This window comes from Homo sapiens, chromosome 16, assembly GCF_000001405.40.
Source record: "Homo sapiens chromosome 16, GRCh38.p14 Primary Assembly".
NCBI classification, from domain to species: Eukaryota; Metazoa; Chordata; class Mammalia; order Primates; family Hominidae; genus Homo; species Homo sapiens.
Window position 1 is genome coordinate 24,143,971 of NC_000016.10, and position 22,995 is coordinate 24,166,965.

General features: G+C 43.6%; 1 protein-coding gene across 3 annotated transcripts in view; it reads left to right on the forward strand.

Annotated features, from left to right (window-relative positions):
- PRKCB (protein kinase C beta) overlaps positions 1-22,995 on the forward strand; it is a 384,629-nt gene that overhangs the window by 307,988 nt on the left and 53,646 nt on the right. For all 3 annotated transcript variants that reach the window (NM_002738.7, NM_212535.3, XM_047434365.1), the window contains one exon: positions 10,714-10,887. In NM_002738.7, coding sequence (NP_002729.2) covers positions 10,714-10,887 — 174 coding nt within the window. The remainder of the gene's footprint in view (positions 1-10,713; positions 10,888-22,995) is intronic.

Genomic DNA, 22,995 nt, shown 5'->3' on the forward strand with positions numbered 1-22,995 from the left:
CAAACATCCATGCAAAACATTTCTCTTAGACCTAAGTTCTAGAGAAAGCTTATTTTTCTCCTCAAAAAACGATTTTCATTATAGAAAATATGAATTTTGTTATGTTGCATATATTTCTGATTGCTTTGGTTTCCAGGAAGCAGAAAGAGAAAGTAGGAGAGAGAGAAAGAGAGAGAGAGAAAGAGAGAGACTGAGAAGAAAAGAGGGAGAGAAAAAAAAGAAAAGAGAACGAAGGAGAGAGGGAGATGGCAAAGGAGGGAAAGAGAGAGTATATATCTATAAAGTATATATGCATACATGTACACATACACGTGTATTTACTATATTCTTTTTTTCTTTTTGAGACCGAGTCTCACTCTGTCACCCAGGCTGGAGTGCAGTGGCATGATGATCTCTCGGCTCACTGCAACCTCCACCTCTCGGGTTCAAGTGATACTCCTGCCTCAGCCTCCCAAGTAACTGGGATTACAGGCGTGTGCTATCATGCCCAGCTAATTCTTTTGTATTTTTAGTTGAGACAGGGTTTCACCATGTTGGCCAGGCTGGTCTCGAAATCCTGACCTCAAGTGATCCACCCTCCTTGGCCTCCCAAAGTGCCGGGATTACAGGCATGAGCCACCAAGCCCGGCCACTACATTCATTTTTAACCACCTGTGTTGAGGTATAATTTACAGAAGATTCACTTGTTTGTTTCATGTAATCTTGAATGATCCCTCAAATTCTTTGTGAAATATGAGTTGGATGGAGCCTTATGTAAATTAAACAATGCTGACACCCAAGGAACTGAAGATCTTTAGTGACCTTGATCTGGGAGATTTTTAAAGCAACTTCTCCTACTCATGAAATCCTTTCATTCATTGATTCAACGGATATGTATTGAGTGTCAACTGTGTGCTAGATGTTGGGGACATGACAGTGGGCAGCTCAAAGAAAATGCCTGCCCTCATGGAGCTTCCACTCTTGTGAGGGATAAAAATAAACAGATAGATATTAATATAATGCCCGTGTGGTAAGTGCTGTCAAGAAAAACAAAGGAGGGGAAGGGGATGGAAAGTGACAATGGGGCCTATGAGTTTAGAGAAGGTGGTAGGGAGGGTGTTGGTGACAGGGTCACATTGGAGTGACCTGAACAAGATGAGGGAGCAAACTGTTGAGTGTCCCTAGGGGAAGAGTCATGCAGGCAGGAAGAGCAAAAGGCAGTGATTCTGAGAGGTGAGATTGAGTCCCAAGTACAGTAGGAGGACAGAGGAAAGCCTTAGGAAGGTGGAGTGACATGAACAAACTTAAGTTTCTAAAGCATCGTTCAGGTGTATAGAGAATAGAATGGACCAGGTGCAGTGGTTCATGCCTGTAATCCAGCACTTTGGGAGGCCAAGGTAGGAGGATCTCCTGAGGCCAGGAGTTCCAGACAAGCTGGGGCAACAGAGTGAGACCTAATGTCTACCAAAAAAGAGAGAAAAAGAGAATAGAATGTTTATGAGAGCGAGAAGAGGGGAAGCAGAAAACAGGGTAGGAGACAACTGCAGGAAACCAGGCTAAGGATCAAGGTGGCTCAGATCAGCAAAGAGGTTGAACTTAGTATATATTTTGAATGTAGAGCTGACAAATCTTGTGATTGTACTGGATGAGAGATACAGGAGAGAGGAACTGAGGGTGACTGGATTTGGCTTTGGACTTGTGGCAAGTGTATGTTGAAGTTGAGCAGTTGGGAAGCAAGATCTTGGGTCCCTGGCTGTCTCTGCCCTTGCACACTAGTGTGGCCATTTGCACTGCTCCCTCAGGACAAAGCTCCCGGGCCAGTTGAAAACCGGAGGTTGGTGCTTTGTACAAAGCTCACCATCAGCCCCCTTTGTTGTTTGGTGAAAAGATGATGTTGACGATCACCACTGTAATGGGTAGAATTGTGTCCTCGTAAACAATGTATGTTCAATTTCTAATGAAGGTTGCCTCACTTGGACATAGGGTCTTTGCAGTTATAAGCAAGTTAAGATGTGGTCACTCTGGATTAGGGTGGGCCTGAATCCAATGGCTGGTGTCCTCATAAGAAGAGGGATATTTGGATACCGACAGAACACACAGGGAAGAATACCAGGGGAAGACAGAGGCAGAGATTGGAGTGATGCGCTTAAAAGCCAGGGAGTGCCAACGGTAGCTGGCAGCCAGCAGGACCTAGGAGGGAGGTGTGGATGGAACAGATCCTCCCTCAGAATCTTCAGAAGGAACCAACCCTGCCAGCACCTTGATTTGGGACTTCCAGCCTCCAGAACTCTGAAATAATAAATTCCTTTTGTGTGAAGTCACTCAGGTTTTGGCTCTTCCTTTTGGTCATGCTAGGAAACTAGTAGAACCACCAGGTATTAAATATTTATAATTTGCCATGCACAGTGCTAAGTTAAGGTGTGCACTAAGATACTTTATCCCATAAAACTCTCTCAGCAGCACCAAAAGCAAAGTATTGTTGGCATCTCCATTTTATAAGATGAGGAGAAGATTGAGGTTCAGAAAACAGTGAATTTCTCAAGGTCGTACAGCTTGTATGTGGCAAAACTTGGACACGTACCAGGTTTTCTAACTCTAAAAGTCCATGCCCTAACCATTATGCAACGCTGGGCCACAGTCAGGGGCCGAGATTCCAGGCACGCTTTGCCATTGGGATTCGCCAGTAAAGTTCATCACCACAAACTTTCCAGCCAGGAATCCCTGGGCTACTTTCCTCTGTTTTATTTGCTGTCATCAGAGTTCTGCTATTTATCACATCTCTCCCAGAAGATTCTTGGGGGAACAGATGTGGCTTGGAATTTGATAAGAACGTCACTTCAACACATCCTTTCAGTCTGTTTGGAATCCTCACCCTGGAGAGAGAGGGACAGCTGAACAAACAGCCCACGCCCTCTATGTTGGTATTAAAGTTTCTGGAAGCTCCAGAAACTGCTTGAGACAATTAATAAGAGATCATTTCCATTTAAAGGAACATTTTTGAACGTGGGCATCACCAGCCAGGGCAATGGCTACTTTTCTGCTCTTTTCCTCTCCCATGGCAAAACTTCACAGCATATGGCCGGGCGCGGTGGCTCATGCCTGTAATCCCAGCACTTTGGGAGGCTGAGGCGGGCGGATCACGAGGTCAGGAGATTGAGACCATCCTGGCTAACACGATGAAACCCCGTCTCTACTAAAAATACAAAAAATTAGCCGGGCATCGTGGCGGGCGCCTGTAGTCCCAGCTACTCGGGAGGCTGAGGCAGGAGAATGGAGTGAACTCGGGAGGCGGAGCTTGCAGTGAGCCGAGATCGCACCACTGCACTCCAGCCTGGGCAACAGAGGAGACTCTGTCTCAAAAAAAAAAAAAAAACTTCACAGCATATGTGGAGGCAGAAAGGTCTGCCCAAGCCACTTGATGGAAGCAGGGCCGTGTTTGTCCTGCTTATTGGGCACATCACCAGTGCCTAGCATCATGCCTAGAACAAAATTCCCAATAGAGCTTGTAGACCTGATGGAAGAACTGGAATCGTGACTGCAGCATGAATGCACACCAAGCTCATCTCGCCAAGCAAATGTTAGTGGTTGTATAAGAAATAGAAAAAGGAAATGACTGTTCTCTCTGTGGCTATGTGCAAGGTGGATAGGAAAAGAGGAATAGGACCAGGATCTAAAACTGAATTTAAAATATTCCAGCACTGATTTGCTCACCACTGAACACTTGGCACTTAGGGCTTGATGATGGGTGTGTTTAAGGGCATGGATTTAAGGGACAGGTGACTAGGTGTCACTTCCTAGTGGAATACGGACGAGTCACCTAGCTTTGTTAAGCCCTCCCTTCTTCATCTGTAAAATAGGGATAGCAGCAGTTTCCACCTTACGTATTTACTGTGGGAATTAAATAAGATAATGCATATTGGAAGTAATCAGTGGGCATGTACATGGTTATTGTTATAAAGTCCAAACTGTCCCAACGTTGCCCTTTTTTTCCTTGGCACAAACACTAGGCCTTTGAGTATCACAAATTCTTTGTCCAGCCACCCTACTTGGTGGCTGGATCTCTGTGATTCTATTAGAGACAATTGTCTGCTACATCTCAGAGAGATGGGAGTCAGCATCTGCAATTTGATTTCTGAAGCTTAAGTGCTCATATCCTTATAGGAATCATAGGCCAAGGTTTGTAGATCCAGATCGTTTAATCCTAAGGAAGCACTGTTCTTTTCCCTTTGGCTGAAATATGCCTCCTGTGTCCCCGCCTTGCTAGTCCTATTGATACTTCAGGTGTCAGCTTAACCATCACTTCCCGAAGAGCATCTTTTGCTGACCCACTCAGCGATGTTAAGTCTTCCATTTAAACACTCCAAGAGCAATGTGTACTTCTGTTTCAGGGGTCTCATTATGATTGATGTTAGGTAGTTATTTGTACAGGAGTGTAAGCTTCATGAGGGCAGGAACCTTGTCGTTCTGCATTCCTGGTGCCTATCTCAGTGTCTGACACATCCTAGACCCTAAATTAATGTTAACTGAAAGAATTGTCTAGTCTTCTAGGTGCTGGATAAAACTAGGAAAGTTGATGCATTTGGAAGGCCCAATGAATTCCATCTCTGTTGCCTCTCTCAGTTGAAGCTTTAAACAATATTGTTATTATTGATTGAAAAGAGCATGCATAACCAAACCCAAGGTGGCAGGGACCACTGCTGACCAAGCTGGGTTGCAAATTAAACTGCAGCCATTTTTGATCATGTGGTTACTCTTCTTTTCCCTGATCCTTCTTGAAACACTTATTCTAAAACGAGGGTCAGCAGACTATTGGAACCCAGGCTACTGCTTATTTTTGTAAATAAAGTTTTATTAGACCATAGCCACACTCATTCACTTGATCCAGACCGCCCTGCAAAGCCTATAATATTTCCTGCTTGGCCCTTTATAGAGAAAGAGGGACTTGATAAATCTGTTCTAGTTATCTATTGCTATGTAGCAAGTCATTCCAAAACATAGAAGCTTAAAACAACAGCCATCCTATATTATCTGTCATGGTTTCTGTGGGTCAGGAGATTGGGAATGATCACTGGTTGGTTGTGGCTTGAGGTTTTTCCTGCACTGGCTGGAGCACCTGGGGCTGCCTGGTCATCAAGCTTATCAGGTAGTACCAGGGTTTCTTCATGGGGTCTTGTTCCCTGGTCTAGCATTGTGTCTTGGGGTAGAAAGGAAAGAAACTGACAGAAGCTACAGCCTCAGAAGTCTTGCAGGGTCTCTTCACCACATTCTGTTCATTAAGGCAGCCGCAGTGCCTGCCCAGGTTCAGAGACTCTGGCTCTGATTGGAGGAGTATCAAATATTTGTAGACATGTTTTAAAACCTCTATAAAGTATCACTTCCTTCGTGCTATGGGGACAGCTCTCAAAATGTAACTCCAAGAGAGGACAGAGAGATTTATATCGAAAATGAAAGCTTGATTAGAATATTAAGAAGAAAAGGAAAGTTTTCTCTCATCCTATTAATGACTGCTGAGAAAGTGTTAGGAAAATCAGGATGGAAGGATTCTGTCAGCTTTACCTACTGACATCTCCTAGCCACCTTATTAAATGAATCAATTTTGATAATATCTGGTGATTATAATCAACATAGGAAGAATATGTTTATTAAAATGCAGACTCCCAGGTCACAGCCCAGAGCTCCTGAAGGAGAGGGAGTGCTTGGAATCTATATGGTAAGCAAAGACCCTCAAGTGATTCTGACATAGGCAAGAGGCACTGTCCTTTATAAAGACTGGAATTTGCCTTGTTTTAGGTCACATACTGACATGATGCTACTTGGCTTCATGTATTTTAATTATTAGTAAGAATTTGAGCTACCTATGTAATAATTTTGTTTTAGGGATCTCTAAGATACATAATCCATTCAAAGTAATATAAATAAAAATAACTTTATTGGAGGAACATAAAGGTTTCAAACAGAAAATGGCTAAGCCTCATGAGAGATTGGAAACTGAAAGCAAGGCCTCTGCTTGTTCTCTTACCTTCTTTGTTTTTTTCCCCCTGCCTCAAACATCTATTTTATTCCTCTTTGCCTGCACAGTGGTAGAAAAGGACCACGCTAGGCTGAGTGTGGTGGCTTACGCCTGTAATCCCAGCACTTTGGGAGACCTAGATGGGCGGATCACTGAAGGTCTGGAGTTTGAGAACAGCTGGGGCAACATGGTGAAACCCCATTTCTACTAAAAATACAAAAATTAACCAGGTGTGGTGGTGGACGCCTGTAATCCCAGCTACTTGGGAGGTTGAGGCAAGAGAATTGCTTGAACTCGGGAGGAGGTGAACGAAGATCATGCCACTGCACCCCAGCCTGGGCAACAGGGTGAGAATCTGTCTCAAAAACGAAAAACAGAAAACAAAACAAAACAAAACAAAAAAGGACCACTCTAGGAAGATCTGTGTATTCTCTGTTGAGGGACCCAGGACTGACTCCTCAGAGTACCCTAATTCAAATTCTTGGGAGGGGGAATCCGATTGGCTTGGCTCAGGTTGAGGAACTTACCTCTGATCCAATCAGCTGTGACCAGCTGTATCCACTGCCCAATCAGAAGGTTCTTCTAATAACACAGAGTTGGAAGAAGTGAAAGGCATGCTAGGGTTTTCATTTCCAAATTAAACTGCAGTCATTTTTTATCATGTGGTTACTCTTATTTTCCCTGATCTTCTTGAAACACTTGTTGCAAAACAAGGGTCAGCAAACTATTGGAGCCCAGGCTATTGCTTATTGTTGTAAATAAAGTTTTATTAGACTACGGCCACACTCATTCTCTTGATCCAGACCGTCCCGCAAAGCCTATAATATTTCCTGTTTGGCCCTTTATAGAGAAAGTGTCCTGACTCCTGCTCTAGAATTCAGTTCGCTTCTATGTCTAAATTTTTGCTATGCCTTATGCATGCCCGTTCTGTTTTCCGTTAATCAGTATAGGGCATGTTGTTGAGGGCAGGGCAAGACACTGGGAATCTTCACACACCCCTGTTTATTGATTTTTAAAACTATCTGTACAAATGCAATAGTATCTCCTACGATGCGGAGCACATAGCATTGCTGATTTGCAAGAAGATTTCAACTGCTACTTGAGATTGTTTTAGGTGCCGTGTAGTTGCACTATGAAATAAAATTAAATCACGTTATGATAAGGTTATTTCTGTGTCTCCTTTTACTCTTTCTAATTACTTGAACAAGCAAATCTCATTTGATGACAATATGCTCTCTAACAACTTTCTAATACAATTTTTTCCTTTAACAAGGAGAAGATGCAGAGCCTGACTCAGAACCTTCAGCAGCCAGCAGTATATAGCTAGAATTTACTGGCACCGCTTTGCTTTTATTTATTTTTATGCTTATCTTCCATTTATGACTTGTGATACTGGCTTGCCATTAATAGTGGTGATATAAAGTTTCCTTTTCAAATTTAGTTAAGTTGAAATGTGACTAGATTTTTAAAATGCTAAGCAAATAACAGTTTAGGTGGCAGGAAGAAATGTGAAAAAACGGATATGAATGATTGAAGTGCGGAAATGCCTGAGCTACAGTAACTGACATAGTTACAAAGCAGCCCTGGTGCCCAGAGGAGGTAGTGGCCGATTTGGTCTGAATGGAACCTCCAGATTAGAGGAGGAGATAACAGCCCAGTGGAATCTCAGATTTTCAAAGCAGTGCAAGAGCATGGAAGGACGTCATAGACAGTGGGAGTCGAATGTTCAAAGGAAAAGAAAGAACAGGATGTGGTCATGGAATTGTTTGGCTTTCAAGAGCCACTGAAGGGCTTTCAGCATTCAAGTGGCACAGTCAGAGCTGCATTTTCAGAACAGTCATTAGCTGAAGCAAGTTAATCTCCCTGAGCCTCAGTGTGTTTATCTACGAAATGGGGGTAATTGACACAGATGTAGGATGTCCACCCCTGTCCCTGGTGAAGGGGGAAATTCCCAGCCATTCTGCCCTGTCTCTCTTCCATGTGGAAGGCTAAGATGTCCTATCATGACTGCATCTGCACTGAAGGTGTCTAGGGCCCCTCCTTCTCTCGTTTTGGTTGGGGGAATGGGAGATAGTTGCAGATATTCAGGATTGTTGGATGGTGCCTTGACCGGTGGTGATGGGTCAGGGAGAGTGTATTAGTCCGTTTTCATGCTGCTGATAAAGACATACCCGAGACTGTGTAATTTATGAAAAAGAGGTTTAATGGACCTGGGGAGGCCTCAATCATGGTGGAAGGCTAAAGTCACGTCTTACATGGTAGCAGTCAAGAGAGAATGAGAGCTAAGCGAAAGGGGAAACCCCTTATAAAATCATCCGATCTTGTGAGACTTATTCACTACCACTAGAACAGTAGGCAGGAAACCGCTCCCATGATTCAATTATCTCCCACCAGGTCCCTCCCACAACACGTGGAAATTACGGGAGCTACAATTCAAGACGAGATTTGGGTGGGGACACAGCCAAACCATATCAGAGGGTGTCCACTGTCAAGGACAGCTCAGCACCAAGCCCTTCTTACTGGGCTCTGGAGTTTCTCAGCTGAGAACTCTTCTTCTTTCCATCTCCAATTCCTCTGCTCACTTGTCTTCCAGCTAAGTCACCTCCCTGCCCCCTCCCTGCACATGTCCCGGCCCCAGCTCTCTCTGGAATCCAGGAGCAGGAAGTCCCTGTCTCCACCTGACTCTACATCTTAGGAAAGTGACTCCCTTGAGTCATTGTTTCTGTGTTAGTAAGCATTGAGGAAGGAAAATACATCCCTTGGGTACCAGGGAGAGAACAGAGGGAGGCAAGAAATAAACTGAAGGTGCCCATCCTAGCACTTGGAGCCCTGTCTTGCCATGCACGTAAGCAGAGGGTCTGCAGGAGCCACTCAGACTGGCAGCTTTTCTTTTTTATTGTGCTGGGGAAGAAAGAGGTTAAAAAGAGTTCTCTTGCTGTGGAAGTGTGTGACAGGGACCCTCTTCCTAAGGTGTCCCAAATCCCTGCATCTGCCTGGCCTTTGTCACTGTGGCTGTGATGAGAGAGAAGATGGTGAGGACAGGAGATAGGAATGCTGTGAGCTGGCAAGCTCAGCTCGGAAGCTTCAGTGCATGGGTGCATGATCTGGAAGCTTCTGTGCATGAGTTTAGCCAGACCTTTTGCTGCTGGGATAAGAGCTGAGTGGGGTGTGCAGAGCTGCCTTCCTGCTGCTAAGCTTATTCTATATGTCACCCCTTCTAGCCTGAGTCCTCTGTTGCATCCTCTGGTCCTCCAGCTGAGTTGAGTGTAGCATCTAATTTCCTCAATCACCTGAACTCTGGCCCTGATTGGTTCCCTTACCCTCCTGAGCCTTAATTTCCTGCAATATGGGATTCACAATGGCACCTACTTCCTATGATGTTATGCAATACAAATGAGTAACAATAAGTGAAAACCTGGAATTGTTTGGTCAGTAGAAAAGTGCTCAAAAATGTAATGGTGGTTAGTATTGTTGCCTGCAAAATATCTGACACAGTGCATGCAGTGAATACTTCAATCTGATTCTTTCTTCCTCCAGGAAGCCTTCCTAGAAGTCCCCAAACCAGGTTAGGACTCTTCGTAATGGGGTTCTGCCTTGTGCTTCCTACAGGGCTTCTTGAGACAATCTGCTGGTCATTGTTCTGTCTGGCATAATCACAACCAAAGAATGTTCAAAGAATATTCCCCCGGTTGGGAGAGTGGGAGAGGGGGTGACACGCAGAAAATACCGATGTGTCTGTGAGCCACACTGGTTAACTGGCCCTGAATATGACCACAGCACAGCTCATAGAAGGAAGCCCCAAGACAACAGGAGAGGCTGTTAAAATATTAAATTAATCATCTCTGTAATTAATTTGCAAAATATTTCTTCCTCTCTGGAGTTAAGGGTCAGAGAACGTGCTTGTTTCTTTATTGCTGTATCCCCAGTGCTTAGCAGGTTCTTAGTGAACATTAAATACTTGAATTAATAAAGGAACAAGTGCCCTAATTTTAGTTTTGTCAGTCATTCACTCATTCTGTCATTCAACAAACATTTATTGAACATGTACTATGAGCCAGGAGCTATTGCAGGCTCTTGGGTTACACCAGTAAACCAAAACAGCAAAGATACTTGCCCTCATGGGGCTTACCTTCTAGCTGGGCATTGACACATTGCCTGTTACCTCAGAGGGATCAATATACAATCATCTCCCCTGGAACCATCCTCTCTTGATTGAGTTCAGCTATTCAAAGTGCGAGGTCAGGGCTGGATGCAGAATCACCCCTGTAATCTTAGCACTTTGGGAAGCCAGGGCAGGTGGATTGCTTGAGGCCAGGATACCAGCCTGGGCAACATAGTGAGACCTTGTCTCTACAAAAAATAAAAAATAAAAAAATTAGCCGGACATGGTGGCACTTACCTGTAGCCCTAGCTACTTGGGAGGCTGAGGCAGGAGGATCACTGAGCCCAGGATTTCGAGTCCGCAGTGAGCTATGATCATGTTACTACCCTCTAGGCTGCAGTGAGTCATGATCATGCTATTGCAATCTAGGCTGGGTGGCAGAGCAAGACCCTGTGTCTGAAAATATAAAAGTGTGAAGTCAATAGAAAACATTACCTGTTGTTTCAGAGTCAACAGAAGGCACCTATACAAAGCTAAGTGTGGCTACAAATGAACACCAGCTGCTCATAACTGGCCCCCAGACTCCTTCCAACTGCCCTGACATGCTTGCTCTCTTTCCCAGGTCATGCTTTCAGAACGAAAAGGCACAGATGAGCTCTATGCTGTGAAGATCCTGAAGAAGGACGTTGTGATCCAAGATGATGACGTGGAGTGCACTATGGTGGAGAAGCGGGTGTTGGCCCTGCCTGGGAAGCCGCCCTTCCTGACCCAGCTCCACTCCTGCTTCCAGACCATGGTAACTTGTCCCATGGCCCTGGGTATTCCACCTCCAGGGCTTCACCAGGCTTTGGCCAAAGCTATCTTAGCAGCACCCAGCACAGAGATACCTGCACCCTTCCCTTTCTAGACACAGAAAGATGTAAGGCCCAGGGAAGTCAGCTGAGAGTTCTGAGGTTGCTACTGAGAAACGCTCTCCCCTGAGACAGATGCTGTCTCAACTTAGATAAAGGAATTCAGGCAACTGGTTTTATAATTAACAGAGCAGGGCCTTTCTCTGACAGCAAGGAGTGACTTGGGGACAGGAGCTGGGTGAAAAGGTTCACAGCTTGTGGATCTAGATGGTTCCATTCAGCCCTCTAGACCTTTGGATAAATGCACAAGTACATCTCTGCAGGTTGCCTGAGGCCTTTGCATGGGCCTCATTGGAGGGAGGATGTTGCCTGAGAACACAGCCCTCGAGGACTCTCAGGGAAGGTACACAGTGTCCTGGGAAGGAGCTAGTGAGTTCAGAGCCATGGCTGCCAAGGTGAGAAGGGAGCACTTGTCCATTTGTCCATTTTCTGCTCTTGACTGTGATTTCAACCCTATCTGCAAGAGCAAGAGTCCCTGCTTTAAGTAACCTCTTACCTTTCCCTGTTCAAATTAGACCTTGGTTTCCATACCCAGGGATGGAGAGGCCAGAGCCCAAATGCAAAGGGGTACAAAGTTAATTGATGCCTTTTAGGATTCTCAGGGCCAATGACCTGGTGACTTAAGATGTTTTGGGGACTTTTCAAGATTAATTTTGACTCTATCCAGTTCTCAACTTACTGAGTAGAGTGACTGATTTTAGAGCCCAACCCATATATGAGATGGGACACTACAGTACTTTGCATCTAATTTGATGTCTTTAGTGATTTCCCTCTCACTTTAATTCTTTTCTTTTATCTGTTCTATTATCTGCTGAAGATATCCTGGGCTGTGTGACCTGTAGCATTTTCACAGTCTGGATTTCACTGACTGTACGGTCTTGGGGCACCTCAACATGTTTCCTCTGTCTTCTGTATTTCGTGCAATTGGCAGCTGGTTCTGGAGGCTTGGTCAGACTCAGCTAGGATCTCTTTGGCAAGACCATAGATGGTGACCTGTTCTTTCATCTGAAGTCGTATAATGGCTTGTTGTCTCTCATAGTGAAGTTGGCAGCGACTGATGGTTGGTGCCTAGATCTGTTAACTCATTAGGGATTGTAAAATGGTGATATCCTAATTCTATCATTTATTTTTCATTTACTAGTGAGAATGCCTTTATAAAGAAGGGCCTCCCTTCACCTATTACTTAGTTCCCTAGTGGTATAGTTCCTGTGAGAAAGGCAGGATAAATGCTTGATTCTTTCTCTTTATTTAATAGTTCTCAAGATAATAAATTGGTTCACTGTTGTGCTCCAAGGGTGGCTAAAGTTGGCTTTTTTTTTTCTAAATGGGTCTGGCTCTGTCTCCCCAGCTAGAGTGCAGTGGCATGATCATGGCTGACTGCAGCCTCGATCTCCCATGCTCAAGTGATCTTCCCACCTCAACCTCCCTAGTAGCTAGGACTACAGGCACACACCACCACGCCCAGCTAATTTTTGAACTTTTAGTAGAGACCGGGTTTCACCATGTTGTCCAGGCTGGTCTTGAACTCCTGGACTCAAGTGATTCACCTGCTTCGGCCTCCCAAGGTGCTGGGATTACAGGCATGAGTCACCATGCCCGGCCAAAGTTGGCTTTTAAAATAAACTGTTTTGAGTGGAAGAAGAGACAATAGAAAGAAAAATATTAAGTGAATGATAATTTACATCATGCAATGGAGACTTGGCAAAGACCAGGAAAGGGGTACACCTAACCTTACTAGTCCAAATCTCTAGTCTTACCATGGGGATTTAAGGCCTAAAGGTGTTCAAGTGGTGATAGAGACAAGGCTGGGATTTAAACCTCTAGGCTCCCCTACTCCCTTACCTTCTCCCTTTTCCATTGGTTATCCCCAGATGGATTCATTGACATCATCAGGCAAAGGACAGTCTCCGTCCAGTAAATCAACTAAGTAAGAAAGGGACCTTGTGCCCAGCATAGAGGCTGAGCAGCAGCAGTTTTCCATTTTAGTTGGATATGTTGAGAGTGGGAGAAATGAATCATGGGTGACTAATGTTCATTGTAGTGTCTTTGTGGTTTATTATTTTAAAAATGATTAAATAGAGTAGATTTGAGATTATTCTTTTAATATTGAACCAACCTACTCACCTATATTTCAATATGCTTTCTGGAATTAGAGAGTAGGGGCTGGGTGTACATGGAAATTTTGCAGAAGTCTGGGTCCCCTCCAGGGATTGTCATGTGCCAGGGAAGAGAGACTGAGAACCAGGAGAGCCTAGAACACAAGAGCCCAGTGGGTTTGGGTCTTGCATGGTGACATGATTTGGCTGTGTCCCCACCCAAATCTCATCTTGAATTGTAGTTCCCATAATCCCCATATGTCGTGGGAGGGACCAAGTGGGAGGTAATTGAATCATGGGGGCGGTTACCTCCATGCTAGTTATGATAGTGAGTGAATTCTCACAAGATCTGATGGTTTAAGAGGGACTTTTACCCCACTTCGCTCTGCACTTCTCCTTGCTGCTGCCACGTGAAGAAAGACACGTGTGCTTCCCTTTCTGCCATGATTGTAAGTTTCCTGAGGCCTCTCTAGCCATGCTGAACTCCGAGTCAATTAAACCCCTTTCCTTTATAAATTATCCCATCTCAGGTATGTCTAATGGACTAATGAGAATGGACTAATACACATGGGAATGAAGGCCTCCCATGTTGGAGACCAATGCAAGTAATTGAATCGTGGGGGCAGTCACCTCCATGCTAGTCATGAGAGTGAGTGAATTCTCACGAGATCTGATGGTTTTATGAGGGACTTTTACCCCATTTCGCTCTGCACTTCTCCTTGCTGGTGCCATGTGAAGGACACGTTTGCTTCCCCTTCTGCCGTGATTCTAAGTTTCCTGAGGCCTCTCTAGCCGTGCTGAACTCCAAGTCAATTAAACCCCTTTCCTTTATAAATTACCGAGTCTCAGGTATGTCTAATGGACTAATGAGAATGGACTAATACACATGGGAATGAAGGCCTTCCCATGTGGAGACCAATGCAGAATCTCCCCAACCGACAAGTCCAAGGATGGAACAGATTGCTTTCTCAGTTGTTGAGGGTCTGATGAAGTCTTTAACCTATCTCTAGGGATTGTATCGATTGAAAGAAAAAAGTGCTTGGAGAGACGCACTCACTGCAAGCAAGAGACCCTGAGATGCCAAGTGCAGTTGGCTGAAGGAAGAGCAGATCCCCTTCCATCTCACCTGCACTCTGCGCATATGCTCATTGAGTGAAATGCTCCAATTTAAATTATTTTTTCTCACTTCTTTGTGGGCTAAGCACATATATTTTAATGTTGCATAAATTAAATTTATTTTCAAAGACTTATAATAATGCCTACTATATGTGAGGCACAAGGCAAACAATTTTAAGTCTCTTGACAACTTAGATAGGTTCTGTCATCATTCCCATTGTGTAGACCAGGGGACTGAGGCCACACAGCTAGTACATTTCAGGGCCAGGATTTGAACCCAGGCAGTCTGGCTTTAAGGAGTTTTGCATTTAATTGCTATGCTCTGAGATCTTTTTAAAAAAACATGTATATGTATAAGTATATGTATATGTATATGTATATGTATATGTATATGTATATGTATATGTATATGTGTGTGTATGTGTGTGTGTGTGTATGTGTATGTGTGTGTATGTGTATGTGTGTGTATATGTATAAGTATATGTATTTTTAGAGACAGGGTCTTGCTCTGTGGCCCAGGCTTGAGTGCAGTGAAACAATCATAGCTCACTGCAGCCTTGGGCTCCTGGGCTCAATAGATCCTCCTGCCTCGGCCTCCCTAGTAGCTAGGACTACAAGCATGCATCACCACGCCCAGTTAATATTTAAAAATATTTTGTAGAAACAGGGTCTTGCTATGTTACCTAGGCTGGTCTCAATCTTCTAGGCTCAAGCAATCCTCTTACCTCGGCCTCCCAAAGTGCTGGGATTACAAGTATGAGCCACCACACCCAGCCTGAAGTCTTTTGAGTGTGGATCACCCAAAGACCACTCCACCTGACACCCCTGGGTTAGAATCCCTCCTGCAGGCCTGTCTCCAGGCTCCACCAGGAGCCTGTGCTCTAATCTAGCCATGGTCACCTCTCACCTGTTCAGTGAAGCCACACTACCTCCACCTCTTAGCTTCCCTATCTCTGCATAAAACTTGATGTTCCATCTGAGCCTCTACCATGCATGGGTCTTCAACAACGTTGCTTCATTCCAGCCTCACAAAAATCTTGCAGTGAAAGGGATTATCTACTCTCCCATTTTGCAGGTGAAAGGATTGAGAATCAGGGCTGCATGGTAGTTCTTCCTCGACACAGCACTGGGTCATTGGCTCATTGAGCTCAGAGCCCAAGCTTTTGTTAGTACATCATGTTGAGTTGCCACCAAAATGGCCTTGACAATGATGATACAAACAAGAACAAAAAGCAGCAGCTAACAGTAATAGGTTGGGCACTCTACTCAGCACTCTAGCTGTATTATCTCATTTTATCCTCCTGATACCTCTATTGGAAAGGTACTATTACTAACTTTAATTTACAGACAAGAATGCTGACATTCAGAGAAGTTAAGTAACTGGTGCACTGTCACACAGCTGCTAAGTAGTGGAGCTAAGATTTGCTCTGCAAGACTCTAGAACCCCAAACCCGGAAGCCTTTGCTAACCTACCTGTGCCTTAACTTCACATTCCTGGTTTTGGCTTATAGAATATTTTCACTTTACAGCCAGGCACAGTGGCTCACACCTGTAACACCAGCACTTTGGGAGGTGTAGGCAAGTGGATTGCTTGAATCCAGGAGGTCAAGACCATCCTGGGCAACATGGCAAGATCCCATCTCTACAAAAAATTAGCTAGGAGTGATGCACGCACCCGTAGTCCCACCTACCCAGGAGGCTGTGGTGGGAGGGTCAACTGAGCCTGGGAGGTCAAGGCTGCAGTGAGCCATGATTGCATCACTGCACTCCAGCCTGAGCTACAGACTGATACTTTGTCTCAAAAAATAAAATAAAATAAAATAAAATATAAAATATTTTCACTCTTACGATCACATCTAATCTTCACAAAAGCACTATAAGTATTATGGTCCACATTTCTATTCAATGGAAACTGACCCCCAGAAAGATGAAATGGCTCAAGTTCCACAATCAGTAAGTGGCAGTTCCAGGGCTTGAGCTCAGGTTTTCTAATAGCCCTTTGGGTGTTTTTTTTTTTTTTTTTTTTTAATACTATGGAAGTTACTCCGCTTATCCTACAGGGATATTGCAAGGATTAGATAAGATTTTATCCATGGGAATGATTATTAAAATTTAGGGAGCACTGCATATACATGAGGCAAGCCATTGTTATCATGACTAAAATGAGCAGGAAGGTGACACCTCTTTCTGGGGATGTCCTTGAAAATGGTCATCTGGCTCCTGCTCATTTTCTAGCATTGCATGGCCTGGATCTGCAGAGCAGGGCTTCAGAGGAGGCAGTGGAGCTGGAATAGGCCATATCCCTAAAAGGGCATTACTGCCTGTATACAGAGGGTATTACTGCCTGTATGCTGCCTGTATACAGAGGGTACTAATGCTTATTGATTATTTCAACAAAGACTTATTCATTGAAATAATTGTATCAGGCCCCATTGCATCACCATGATGAGGTACAAAACAGATAAAGTCCCTGTTTCTTTGGAATTTACATTCTCTTGGGGGAGACTGATAATAAACTATAATAATGACACAAAGTAAAGAGGATGGAGATGGATGGATTGGGGCAGAGAGATGCTATTTTTGATAGGATCATCAAGGAAGGTCTCTCTGATAAGGATGACATCTGAGCAGAGACCAGGGCAAGCAAGGGAGCGGGGCATGTGGCTATCTGGGGGCAGAGTGTTCCAGGCAGCAGGAAGAGTGAGTGTGAATGCCCGCGGCATGAGCATGCTCCGCGTGTTTGAGGAACAGCGAGGAGGCCGGTGTCGCCCCGGTGGATTGTCATTTTGTATTTTGTGACCCAGAATTCTTTTTGAATCAGCTACCTTTAAAAAAAAAAGAGACAAATCCAATATAACATGCTGTAAATTTGATGTTTTTCTTTCTAGAGACTCAGAATTTTAAAGATAAAAGATTCTTAATAGGCTCTTAAAAAATCTCAAAAGTGGCCAAAATACTGGATAAAAGTGAAAGAGACAACCAGCAATGTACAAAACCATTTTTTAAAAATCAATTTTTAAATGATGTAAATTCGATTTTTAAAAACTTATTTAAAAAAGCAAAGTTACATCAGAAATAATCTTATATTGGAATAAAAATATCTTTCAAACATATGCACAGCACGGTGTTAACAGAAAATGTAGGATATTAAATCCTATTTAAGATATTATTTTAAGTGTGTTAAAATTGAATATTCACATGGAAAAGAATCAGAAGGGGGCATAAACAAATCAAAATATTGATTTGATTTAGGGAGGGGTCTGTGGATAAGTGCCTTCTTTTTGAACTTACATCATTGCAGAAGTAGTTATAATATAGTTGTTTAAGTTTTTTTTAATGTACCACAAGATGGCAAAGTTAATATCCAAATAGATGCAAAAGCTCCCAGAAGGGGGTTGAGTTTTCAGAGATTTGCTCATTAGATGGTTTAGGCAAATTGTCCTAGAAGCACAAAGGGATAATAAGCCTGTACTCCACAGTCAGGTGAATCTGGATCTGTGATTGCTTGCTAGATGACCTCTAGGAAGTCACTTAACAGCTCTGAATATGGATTTCATCATCTTTAAAGTGGGCATAATCAGGGAGGATTGAAAGAGATGGTGAATAAAATATAATAAACATGAAATGGAGGTTGCCGGCATTATTAGAGCTGGACTGGAGGTGCACCTTGCTGCATAGGTACGAAAGAATTATGTTTCTTCCATTCCTTTTGCAGTTTTTCTCAGGGACAATTGTCAGCCCGGCACATTCATGCAATTTCCCAACTGCCAGTGGGCACAGGCAGTTAAGTTTCTTTAGCAAAACATCTATTTTAACTGTTTTCTTTTCAATTGAACATATGCACCTCTTTTTTTTTTTAAATAGAATTAGATTTTATGAGTCATTGAAGGACAGAAGTTACTTCCTCCCCAAATTTGCTGCCATGGCCCAGCAATAACTCAGTTGCAAGGCATGCTGGGAGGAACGTCAATTCAGAATGCAAGAGAGGACAGGGATGGGGTGAGGATGATTCCCACATGTAGAGTGGACCCCTGATGGCCCAAGAATGAGCCCCGAGAATGTCCCAGGGGTCCTGGTAACTCGGGCTCAGCTCTGGGCTGGCAGCAGTACCCAAGGATATGGTTGGACTTAAGGGCATTGCTGCAGGTGGCTCTGGCTGTTGTCTCAGTCAGCAGTGATCAAGTTGTAAGAAACAGAACACCCCTTCCCCTGCCCCCCACCAAACTGGCTCCAATAGCTCCAAAAAAACAGAGAAGACTTTTTTTTTTTTTTTTTTTTTTTTGAGACAGGATCTCCCTTTGTCACCCAGGCTGGAGTGCAGTGGTATAATCATGGCTTACTGCAGCCTGGACCTCCTGGGCTCAAGCGATCCCCCTGCCTCGACTTCCGGAGTAGCTGGGACCACAGGCATGCACCACCAAGCCTGACTAATTTTTTAAAATTTTTTTGTAGAGATGGGGTTGAGACCTATGTTGCTCAGGCTGCTCTCAAACTCCTAGGCTCAAGTAGTCCCCATACCTCAGCCTCCCAAAGTGTTGGAATTACAGGCATGAGCCACCGCGCCCAGCCTGGAGAGGATTGTTGATGAGAAATTAGTTAATGCGTGCAATGTACCTTATTCAGGTGATGGGTGCCCTAAAAGCCCTGACTTGACCACTATGCAATCTATGCAGGTAACCAAAAAAAGAGGATTTTATTGGAAAGAAACCACCCAAAGACAAAGGTGTACCTGGGCCTCATGAGGAGCTAGAATCTGTAATCCTAAAGCAGTCTAGAATAGATTTCTAGGTTTCTTTGTCCTTGCTTTCTTTGTTTCTCACTGCTCCTGGTAAACATGACTTCGTTAGCTCCTTGCAGTTTGCCTATCTGGCAAATTCCCTGCATTTCAGATCATAGTCCTGGGAAAGAGAATCTGGTTGGTTCAGCTTGGGTCAGGTGTTTATTCCTGGCCCAATCAGCTGGCAATTGGTTGCTACTAACTCACTAGGAACCTTTTAAAAGGGGTTGTATCTACAGGGAGGGAATAATTGGTGCTCATGCCAGGTGAGAGGCACCATCTTGAGTCCAAGGAGACTAACTGGATTCAAGCAGGACATAGTTATAGGCTAGTGGTACAAACATGGCATCATTGCCTCCCAGGGGAGGAAACTGGTGAGAGCTTGGCAGGTGTTAGTGCTTTAGCCAACTAAAGCCATCCAAGGATCTTGAGTACAGGAAATGAATCAGAAATGCAACCCAGGCAAATAGAGCTGGGGCAGGTGGGAATAGACACAGCCTTATGCTCTCTGTTTTCTTGATGGTGGCCTTTGCATATTCATTCAATAATCAAAGATCTGTGGAATTCCGAGGAAGAATAGAGGTAGTTCTAGCCTTTGAAAACTTTGGCCTCTATGTGGAGGGACAAGGCTTAGAAAGCTGAAAACAAACAAACAAAAAAGCTAGAGGAGCATCAATTGCTTGATTCTAACAGTGATTGCAAGGCTATAAAATACAGAGGAAGGGAAAGTTGTGTGTGAACACATGTCATTGAGTGCACACTTACTTGGGTAAGGCTTTTTGAGTTTGCATGGACTTGACATGCGTCATCTGATGTATCTTGGCAACACCCCTATGAAGAACAAGCTGTCATTACCCCCTTTTGGGAAGGTAGAGACTCTAAGTAACTGACCCAAAGTCTCAGAGCAAGTATCCAGTATAACTGTGACTAGAACCCAGGACTAGCTGATACCAGAACCAGGGCTCTTAACCACAGCACTACACAGCCTCTCTGGAGAGAAACAGATGGTTCTGAGCAATAAAGGGATCAGCTTCCAGACGGGATGAATCCACAGACCAGCTTGGAAAATCATTAAAGATCATTAAATAGACAAATTCTTGCAGCAACTTCCCTTGGAGCATGGTACATAGAGCTGCCCACGTGGTCGGTTTTCTCTGTTCATGGTATCTGATTAAAAGTGGCAAGTGTCCCCCTGGCAGTCACACAGGCATCATGTTACACTCCACTTTCAGCTGTCTTAGGGGAAGATTGTCTCTTTGAATTCCCTTGCTTCCTCTGGAGACCTCCAGGTGAATTCTGCACCTCCCACCTAGTCATCATTTTAAATCAGACTATCCTCATACTCATGTTCCAAATTTGGGAAATTCTAGCCAACCATTTTGCATAATGTAGTGACAGACAGACATTTAGTTTTATTTATTTACTGATTATGAGAGATTAAGGAGAAAGGGAATTTTAAATTACCTGAAGGCACTTGAAGCTTAGAGGGCAGCGGTAATAGTGTAATGAAGAATCACAATAACAATGACAATTTTGAAGAAGCCCTTTAAAGTCAAGCAGACTAGCCAGTTTGAAGAGAAAGATGGTGAGTTTGCCTTTCCGAGCTTTTAATTGGAGTTGACGGTGGAACACCCACGTAGAAACGTCCTGTAGCCAGCTGGAGCTGACTGGAGCTCAGGAGAGAGGGAGAGGATAGAAATATAAGTCAAGACTCATCAGCCCAGCGAGATGAGAGTTGAAATTCTGAGCTGTGACAAGTTCTTCTTGGAAAATTGAGTAAGTAGGAGAGAGCCAATCTGGACTTCAAGTCGATACGCAAGAAATACTTTTTTTGATTTTCATATATTAGAGTCCAACAAATAAGCCCTAATCAAAAAACACTGAGTGTGGTGATAAGGAAGATTTTGCAATAATTTCGTAGGAGGAATGGGGAACAAAGGCAAATTTAAGGGTGCTATGGAGGGGAATAATATGTAAGAATTAGAGGCAGTACGTGAGGTCCATTTAGTTAGCCGAAGCCCCCATAGTTCACTCTTTATGCCTCTCATGCACTTTCTTTTATCGCATTCTATTTTATTTATTTATTTACTTTTATTTGAAACAGGGTCTCACTCTGTCACCCAGGCTGGAGTGCAATGGTGCAATCACTGCTCATTGCAGCCTTGACCTCCTGGGCACAAGCCGTCCTCTCACCTGAGCCTCCTGAGTAGCTGAGACTACAGGTGTGCGCCACCATGCCTGGCTAATTTTTTTATTTTTTGTAGAGCCAGGGTCTTGCCATGTTGCCCAGGCTGACCTGGAACTTCTGGGCTCAAAAGCAATCCTTCCACCTCAGCCTCTCAAAGTGCTGGGATTGCAGGCATGAGCCCCTGTGCCCAGCCACATTCTATTTTAGATTAGGGTTTGAATTAGTTGTATACTTGTTTTAACCAAGATTCTGAATTCCCTGAGGGCAAGCCTGAACCTTATTCATCGTTTTCATCCTTTTAATGCCTGCCTAATGCCATGACTTGCAAAAATAAGCGCTCGATGAAAGTTCTAAAACTCACTTCTCTGCTCCAGATTGGCTCTGGATTGCCTCTGACAATATTTTCCAGATTTTGATGTTGCTTACTGTGGAGTGGGAGATGAACCTGGTGGTACATGAACACATTGCATTTATTTTTAAAATAAGTCATTTAAAGGATTGATGTACCAGAGCCAGACTGGATATTGCATAAAGATGATGGACTCCAGATATGCACTTCTTTTCTACAGAGAGGATGAATTTCCATTTATGACTTTAGTATGAAATTTAAAATTTTTAAAATAATTGTGTTTAAGTTTTTTTTAAGTGAGTTAATAAAAATACTTTTAAAATAAGTCAATTTTAGTAGAAAAGGCAGACAAACTTAGTAAAGATTTTTTTCTTTTCTTTCTTTCTTTTTTTTTTTTTTTTTTTTTTTGACACAGGGTCTCACTCTTCCCCAGGCTGGAGTGCAGTGGCATGATCTGGGTTCACTGCAACCTCCACATCCTGGGATCAAGCCATTCTTGTGCCTCAGCCTTCCGAATAGCTGACATTAGAGGTGTGTGTCACCATACCTGGCTAATTTTTGTATTTTTAGTAGAGATAGGGTTTCTCCATGTTGGCCAGGCTGGTCTCAAGCTCTTGGCCTTAAGTGATCTGTCCACCTTAACCTCCCAAAGGGCTTACAGGTGGGAGCCACTGCACCCGGTCCAGATATGTACTTGTTTTCTATAGAGGGGATGAATTTCCATTTATGACTTTGGTATGAAGTTAAAATATTTTAAAATAATTGTGTGTAAGTTTTTTTAACGGAGTTAATAAAAATATTTTTAAAAAATAAGTCAATTTTAGTAGAGGAGGCAGAGAAACTTGGTAAAGATCTTAAAGCTGGTTGGGAGACAAGTCACGTTTGGGTGGATGGTCTTAGGCAGTGCATCATAATCTGGTCTTACCCTACCTTTCCCCTTTTTTCTTTTATATGACTCCATGAATTTTACTCCCCCTCTCCAGCAATAATAGCCATCAAATCAGGAACGTAAGTGCTTAGTTGTATTTTCCACAATATACGTTAAAACAAATACAAAGCCATAAAGGTGAAACCATCATACATCCATGGACTACCTAAAATGATCTCCTACCCATTTTGGGAAACACGGCCGTTTGGAAATTTATCTGGCCCCTGTCCCTCGCCTGGGAATCCTTAACATCTGGCACTGTGGATTATCCACAGAAACATCTCTGGCAATAGAGTTGCTCCTGGCATAGAGTGGGCATCATTAAGTGTTTGTTCAGAAATAAAAGGACAGTGAGATGCCAACCGTAACATTTAATAGCTTAGGCACTGGTGTGTTGAAGCCACATGCTCAGTACAGTTCAAAGATGATAGATCTTAGGGTTTCCCTGCATATGGTTAGCGGTAGAAACATACCACAAAACACGACCTTACCTACAGTGGAGCGATCCCCTGATGTGGGGATTCCGACTAATGAGTCTG